Source organism: Homo sapiens, chromosome 3 (genome assembly GCF_000001405.40).
Source record: "Homo sapiens chromosome 3, GRCh38.p14 Primary Assembly".
Lineage (NCBI taxonomy): Eukaryota > Metazoa > Chordata > Mammalia > Primates > Hominidae > Homo > Homo sapiens.
In genome coordinates this window covers 58182184-58190592 of record NC_000003.12, presented here as the reverse complement: position 1 = coordinate 58190592, position 8409 = coordinate 58182184, and the positions used below count along the sequence as shown (strand labels likewise).

Below are 8409 nucleotides of genomic sequence, written 5' to 3'. Positions count from 1 at the left end.
TTCCTCCCAACAAGACATCTCTCCACTCCTGCCCAGGAGCAGGTTACTGGAGCCACAGGCATCTGCCAGCTCTTATTCCGGCCAAATTCTGACAGGCAAGAGGGCACAGCGCAGGGCATGTCTCACTGCGCATAACCTAATGGAGCTGCAAACATCCTCCTGTCCCTTTGGGTCACCTGGCCTGGCCTGGGCAAGGAACTCTGGTGGCCTTTTGGGGAAAATGGGTGTCCCCTGGTCATAGGCACCCTTTTAGCCTTGGCTTTGTCCAAAGAGTCTAAAGCTTGGCTGGGTGCGGTGGCTGACGCCTGTAATCCCAGCATTTTGAGAGGCTGAGATGGGAGGATCACTTGAACCCAGGAGTTTGAGACCAGCCTGGGTAACATAGCAAGACCCCATCTGAACAAAAAATAAAAAAATTAGCTGTGCATGGTGGTGCATGCCTGTAGTCCCAGCTACTCAGAAGGCTGAGGCAGGAGAATCACTTGAGCCTGGAAAGTCAAGGCTGCAGTGAGCTGTGATCGTACCATGGCACTCCAGCTTGGGAAACAGAGCAAGACCTTTTCTCAAAAACAAAACAAAAAAAACAAACGAACAAAAAAGAGTCTAAACCTTGGTGTGCACTGGAATCCCAGGGAACCAGTTACCATGGTGATTCCCAGGTCCCAGTCTCCCAGAGTCTGGGCCAGGGCCCAGGAACCTGCAATTTCAACAAGTCCCCCGGTTGATTCCAAGGCACATGATCTGAGGCCCAGATTTGAAATCACTCTCCCAGTCCCCCTTGGTGAGGCGAGGTGTAGCATGGTAGCAAGGACCAGGCTCACTTTGGAGCCATAGTCTCTACCACCTACCAGCTGTGGGACCTCGAGCAGGCTACTTACCTTTAGTTTCCTTGTGTGTAAAACAGAGATAATAAGAGAATCAACCTCATAGGTAAAGTTTAAATAAGATGATGGATATAAGGCATGGAGGATGTGCCTGATGCTTAGTAAGCCCTCGATAAATTAAATTCCCTTACTTGTATATTTGTATTAACAGGGCTTGCTCTGTTAAAGGGTAGGCCGCTTTAAGTCTGGGTGTGCAGGTTGCTCGAGCTTAGTTATTCAGAATGAATTTTTGCCACACAAGGAATCATGCCAGGGTTCCATTTCTTTGTCATTCACCACGGCAAATATTTTGGCAGGTAACCCTGAGGATGGAGACGCCCCTGCTTCCAGTCCTTGTGACATCCTTTTCCTTGTCAACACCACTTTCCTGCCACAAATACAGAAACCCTCCCCCAGTGACCTTCTCCCTGACCCTGCTGGGGGTGGGGTGGGTGAAGGGAGCTTCTGCAATTCAGCAACCCTGCTCCTATCTCTCCCTTGGGCTGGAGAGGGCAAGTATAAAGAGTAGTTGCCAAACCAGGAAAGGGCGACAAACTGGGGGCCACATCCCTCGTCCCTCCCGGAAAGAGGAAAGGCACCCAGCCCAGGCAGGCGTGAGGGTGGAAAGCAGGGCAGCTGAGAGAGGCTCACATTTGCATCAGCTGCTGAGTCTCCTGATCAGGGCGGGCTTCCACCTGAATGATCCTGAAGGAGCCAGCATCCCCATGTCACTTGCCCATGGGCCATATTTCAAAGGAGGAGCGGGTCCCCACGGTCCCCAAGACCCTGGCAACAGTGGCGTCAATCTTTGGGATTCAGGGAAGCTACTAAAATTAAATCAAAATAAGGGAATTTGAGGAAACAAGAATCTATGGATGCAGGTTTGTGTGTGTGTGTACGTGCACATACACACGCACTCAGCTCTTTCCCAGGGGTCTCCCTGCCTGGCACATATTCCTCGGCCTGCTCAGCTTCTGGCTGGGTCATACCAGCCCATGTCCCTGCCTCAAATGCGTCTTCCGATGGCAGGTGGGAGGAGGTTGGTCATTTACAGAAACTCCTCCTGCTGCCCCTCTATGCTCTGGGAAACTCTACCACCAAATACCCTGGGAGTTTTATTTTTCCGAGTTATCATTACTTTGAGATTCCCGCTCCTGAGATCTTTTCACAGTTTCCTAGAGGCTAGAGCTGAAAATATCCTTAAAGGTAATAATAAGTAATGGCTGCCATTTGCTAAGGGCTGCTGTGTGCCAGGCTGTGTGCTAAGAGGCAGTGGCGTGGGCCATCTCACTGAATTCCAACCGCAGCAGCGAGGTGGAGTCTGATGTCATCTCCATTTTATAGGCGAGGCGAGTGAGGCCCAGAGAAGTTAAACAACTTGCCCGAGGGCACACAGCTGGGGAGTATTGAACCCAGGTGACTCACCCATTAGGCACAGCACTGTGCCTAGGGCCCATGGAAATGTGTTAATTTCTTTCAGAATCAGAAAGAAAAACATGAACTTTGGGGATGAAGAAAAAATTAACATAATAATAATAACATGTTTGTCTTTATACCAATATAGTTGTAAAATACAATTTTAATATTTTTTATGGGGGAAAGGATCTATAAAGGCAAAGGTGCCTAATGCCCGTGAAAGCCACAATGGGGCCCTGGGGGAGGCAGAATTAAAATCCCGGTCTGCCTGCCTTCAAAGTTCGTGCTCTCTTCAGTCTAGTCTAATCCTGTTTACAGGTGAGGAAACTGAGGTCCAAGGCCACACAGCGAATGGCAGAGCCAGGTGGAGAGCTCAGGTTTCCAGTGAGCCAACCACCATGGCTTGTGGTCCGACATCACCACCCGGTGGCCTTTTGGGGAACTTACCTTTAGTCCAGAGGTGAACCTAGAAAGAGAAAGGGCTCAGACAGTTCCAGATACCCGCAGGAAACCTCCACAAGCCAGTCTGCACTTGGGCTCCACACTCAGCAGTGGTGAAGCCAGGCCAGGGAGCCAACTCCACACTCACTTGAGGCTGTCGTTGGAATTCACACATCTCAGCCTACACACACACACACACACACACACACACACACACACACACACACCCCTCTGCCAGGGTAAAAGCATCATCCCCCAGAGTTAATATTTGTAAAGTTCTTAGACCAGTCTGGTCCAATAGGAATATAATATAAGCCAAAATGTAATTTGAAATTTTCTGGTAGCCATATTTTAAGAAGTAAAGGAAATAAGTGAAATTAATATATTTAATATTTTATTTAACACAGAAATCAGCAAACTATACAGCCTGTGGGGGAAATCTGGCCCACCATCTGTTTTTTTTAAATAAAGTTTTATTGGAACAAGCCATGCCCATTTGTTTTTATATTGTCTATGGCTGATTTTGCACTGCAATGGCAGAGTTGAGTAGTTGCATAGTTGAGACCAGGTGATCCACAAAGCTGAAAATTCTTACTATCCAGTCTTTCAGAGGGAAAGTTTGTCAACCTCTGATTTAGCCCAATCTATCCAAGTATGGTCATTTCAACATAAAATTCAATATAAAAATTATTAATGAGAAATTTTACATTTCATTATACTAAATCTTTGAAATTCAGTGTGTGTTTTATACTTAGAGTACATCACAATTTGGATAAGACTCATTGCAAATGCTCAATGGACATGTGGTTGGATCATGACTACCGAACTGGACAGTGTAGGGCTTAGAACAATGCCCGCAGATATCAAACAGGTATTCATTAAATACCTAAATAAACTCCCCACCAGCCTTTCTTAACTGACTTCCAGAAAGAATTAAGCCCTAACATTCGGGGACAGCCCCTGTTTGTAATGAATCAACTTCTTTCCCATGCCTGTAGAATGGTGTCATTCCTGGGAGGACTGAGAAAAGTCACTGGTGTCATTTTCTGTAGGGTTTCATTTATTCACAGAATCCCAGTTGAGAAATGCTGCAGCCATTCCTTTTCTAAGGAGCTTGAAGACTTGCTGCTGATGGAGATAATTATTATTAATATAAATCACATGTATAGAGCCAGGCACTGTGCTAAGGTCTTTCTGAGCATTGTTTCAATGACAGAAATGACAATGGCCTCCCTCAGGAAGGCTCCTCTGTGCACCAAAGGTGTCCACTGTCCCCCATACAGCCCTTTTCACTATGTCCTGTGAGCTCCAAGATCTGACCCCTCATTCCCCGGGAGCTCAGCCTAGGCCCGGCCCACAGGAGCTGCTGGATCAATATTTGTTGCATTCAATCAAGTAACTCTAGAGAACCCGGGGGTCATTTGGTGTTTGATTCAACCTGGCAGGTGTTTTTCCAGCAGCTCTGTTGTGCAAGGCTGCTGTGTGCATCTCAAGGGAATCCATTCCCACATTGATGCTCACTCACATTCCCAAGACTGCCCAGGGAAAACCAGACAAGATAGTTGCATTCGCAGTTTTAAGTGGTCTAGCTCCTCTCTGACAGTTCAGGCTAAGAGACAGACCACCAGAGACCAGGGAATAGTGATTCGTTTGCCCAGTGCTTTCTCTGTCCAGCATGAGGAACTGCCCTTTTGTCCAAGTAAGGAGGGAAGTGTACCACAATATCCTGGTTGAACAAGACCTGCCCATGAGCATTTTAGTTTTGAAAGAGCTGTATGCAGGGATGTTTATTTGAATTCCCCACCTGCCCGAGGCCTTCTAAGCAATCAGATTCTGTGAGCACCAACATCAGATGGGTCCACGGACAATCATTCGACATGTCTGGGATTCTGCAAGAGAACTGTTTCCGAGAGAAGGAGGGAGGCCCATCAAGATAATATGAGTAACCAAGGTTTAGCTGTCAGAAGGGAGGTGGTATGGAATGAATTGTTCCTCCCAAAAGACTATTTATTTATTTATTTTTGAGACAGAGTCTTGCTCTGTCACCCAGGCTGAAGTGCAGCGGTGCGATCTCGGCTCACCATAACCTCTGCCTCCCAGGTTCAAGCGATTCTCCTGCCTCAGCCTCCCAGGTTCAAGCGATTCGCCTGCCTCAGCTTCCCAGGTTCAAGCGATTCTCCTGCCTCAGCCTCCCAGGTTCAAGCGATTCTCCTGCCTCAGCCTCCCAGGTTCAAGCGATTCTCCTGCCTCAGCCTCCCAGGTTCAAGCGATTCTCCTGCCTCAGCCTCCCAGGTTCAAGCGATTCTCCTGCCTCAGCCTCCCGAGTAGCTGGGATTACAGGCACCCGCCATCACGCCCGGCTAATTTTTGTATTTTTAGTAGAGACAGGGTTTCACCATGTTGGCCAGGATGGTCTCCAACTCCTGACTTCAGGTGATCTGCCCACGTCGGCCTCCCAAAGTGCTGGGATTACAGGCGTGAGCCACTGCGCCTGGCCCAAAAATATTTAAGTTTTTTTTTTTCCAAGTTCTAACTGCCAGTGCCACCTCATTTGGCAATAGGACCACTGCAAATGTAATTCGTTAAGATGAGGACATACTGGAGGCGTGGGCCCCTAATCCAATACGATTGATGCCCTTCTAAGGAGACAGTCATGGGAAGCCAGAGTGACACACAGGTAGACAGCCACGTGACGAGGAACGCAGAGCCTGGAGTGCTGCAGCTGGAAGCTGAGGAAGGCCAAGGATGCTGGTGGCCACCAGAAGCCAGGAAGGGCAAGAAAGTGTTTGTCCCTATAGGTTTCAGAGAAAGCTTGACCCTGCCCACAGCTTGATCTGACTTCCAGCCTCCAAAAATGTGAGATCGCCAATTTCTGTTGTGTTAAGCCACTGAGTTTGGGGTACTTTATTATGGCAACCCTAAGAAACTGATACCGGAAGGAGCTTCGAATTTAGCATGGTGGCTGCACAAGACATGTAGGCCACTGTGGTACCCTTCCTCCTCTTCCTGCTGAGCGCATGGCTCCATGAATCAACCCAGCCCTCTCACATCTAGGAGTCATGTGACTTGTTCTCACCAGTGGAATGGGAGAGGAAGTGACACCGCTTAGCTCCAGGCCAAGGCGGTTCAGAGCAGGTGTATTCTCTCCATGCTCAGTCTCTCTCCCCTTTCCCTGGCTGGATGTAGAGGACTCAGAGGAGGGCTGTGAGGCCCTAGGGGATGGCAGAGCTACCAGGTGGGAGAAGCCTGGGTCCCCGGATCAGCAGGTGGAAGGTCACCTGCCCAACATCAGATTGGACGGCCATGTAGGAAAGACGTCTTTATTGGTTTAAGCAACTGGGACTTAGGGGCTGTTTGTTTTAGCAGTGAGGCAACCCTGACTAACACAGGTTCTGAGGGATGAGAGAAGCGGTAAGCAAAAACGTAAACTACTTCTTCCCTAAACTATGGGGTAAATTGGCACTAAGCAACCCAGCTATGGATCCCTTCAACAGAATGTAGAGAAATAAAAAGCAGGGAGATATTCTCTCCCTTTAGCACCTTAAGGATTTAGCGAGCCCTCTCCTGCGCCGGGTCTGCTGAGGGAGCACTTGGAAACCCCACTGTTTCCCCCCAGGAAAGCAGCCCCCATGTCCACGCCTTGCCAATGACGGCAGGGGCGGAGGCAGCCCTACAAGGAGCTGAGGTCCTTGGAGGCAGACAGCCGGGAGGGAGGGCCACCGATTGGTCCAGACCCCGCCTTAGTCACTCTCATGCCTACCCATGCACAGCAAGGCGGCGGGGGCTCGACAGCTGCAGAGCAAGGGTGAGTCTGGCCGGAGGGTCCAGATGGGCCATAGGCATAGGATAGGAGCAGCTCTGGGGACCTTTCCCCATGTGGACTCACGTGAGCTGGTCTGTTTGCCGTGGGAAATGGCAGATGCCACTTTGGGTGTAAAACACCTTTGTGATGGACTGGACCTTGGCATAAGTTGGAACCTTGATGTGCTTCATAGCGTCCCCTGCAACACAGCAGAGGCTGGGGAGAGTGAGGGTCACCTTCCTCCTGCCACATTTCCCCAACCCACAGGGCCGAGGGCCAGCAGGGACACACTACTATAGCTGCTTCAGTTGTTAAAAAAGTGCAACATTTCTGTACCACCTAGGACCAGCCATGCCTTCCTACCTTAGGACCCTCAGACCCTCCTATGACCTCATAACCAAAGGGTAATGCCTGACATCGCACGGAGACCTTGACACCCCACCTTGGCAGCACCACCAGGATCTGTCCTGATAGGGGGGCAATTCCAATTAACTATTCTGACTCTACCCCACCCCAAGCTCACTTACCCCACATCCCATTTCTCCTGTTGTCCCTGGATACCCCACCCATACCAGTGCTCCACAGGAGGCACGTGGGGGCTACTCAAGGCTGAACTAGCTCCCCACATGCCCATAGGCTGCAAATCCTGCCTGTTGAGTCACCACCACCACCAACTACAGTGCTAATAATACCAGCTACCATTTGTTTGAACACTTACTTCATGCCAGGCCCTAGACTGTGCTTTACATGTGTAAAAGGGCATTTTTGGCTGACCTAGCTGGGGTCCAGATTATGCCTTTAACCCCTCTTCCCTGTGTCTTTTTGCAGCCACTGGAATGTCACTGCCCCTGTTTGTAACTGTGGTGGGGAAAGGGAAGTGGTCAATAGTAAGTCTCTCATCAGGCGCAGTGGCTCACACCTGTAATCCCAACACTTTGGGAGGCCAAGGATCTCCTGAGGTCAGGAGTTCGAGACCAGCCTGGCCGATGTGGCAAAACCCTGTCTCTACTAAAAATACAAAAATTAGCTGGGTGTGGTGGCAGGTGCCTGTAATCCCAGCTACTTGGGAGGCTGAGGCAGGAGAATCGCTTGGACCCAGGAGGCAGAGGTTGCGGGGATCCGAGATTGCACCCCTGCACTCCAGCCTGGGTGACAGAGTGAGACTCTGTCTCAAAAAAAAAAAAATAAAAAAAGTCTGTCATCTAGGCCAGGCACATTGGCTCATACCTGTAATCCCAGCATTTTGGGAGGCTGAGTTGGGCGGATCTCTTGGCCAGGAGCTTGAGACCAGCCTGGGCAACATGGGCGAAACCCCATCACTACAAAAAATACAAAAATTAGCTGGGCATGGTGGTGTGCACCTGCAGTCCCAGCCCCCCTGGCATGGGAACCGGCACCTCAATGATTGGGTTGCCAGGATGGAATTCAGGATGCCCAGTTACCTTTGAATTTCAGATAAACAACAAATTGTTGTTTAGGTATCTGGGAAATATGTACACTAAAAAATTATTTGTTATCTGAAATTCAAAGGTAACTGGGCATCCTGCATTTTTATTTGCTAGATCTGGCAACCCTATAACTGGCACTGGCTTCAAAGGCAGTGGACACAGACGCATGTGCCAGAGCAGGAGGGGACTGGGAGGTTGCTGTGTGGCGCCTCAGCTGAGACCTGCTCTGTGGATGAGTCCTGTGGAGTAGATACTGTAATACCTAGGACTCTGCTCAAATGCTCCCTCCCAGCAGGCCTTTCCTGACCACCAGGTTTACCAGAGCAGCCTCTTCTCCTCCTCCTCCTTCTTCCTCTTCTTCTCCTCCTTCTGTCCTCCTTCTCCTTCTTCTCTTCTTTCTCCTTCCCCTCCTCCTTCCACCCTCCTCCCTCCTCCCCTC

General features: G+C 49.7%; 1 long non-coding RNA gene across 1 annotated transcript; it reads right to left on the bottom strand.

Annotated features, from left to right (window-relative positions):
- Positions 1–3097: 3097 nt before the first annotated feature.
- Positions 3098–7487, bottom strand: LOC124909386 (uncharacterized). Its single transcript, XR_007095929.1, has 2 exons — positions 4525–7487; positions 3098–3845 (listed from the first exon to the last, which is right to left on the bottom strand). It is a non-coding gene; the product is annotated as an uncharacterized LOC124909386 (long non-coding RNA).
- Positions 7488–8409: the final 922 nt, after the last annotated feature.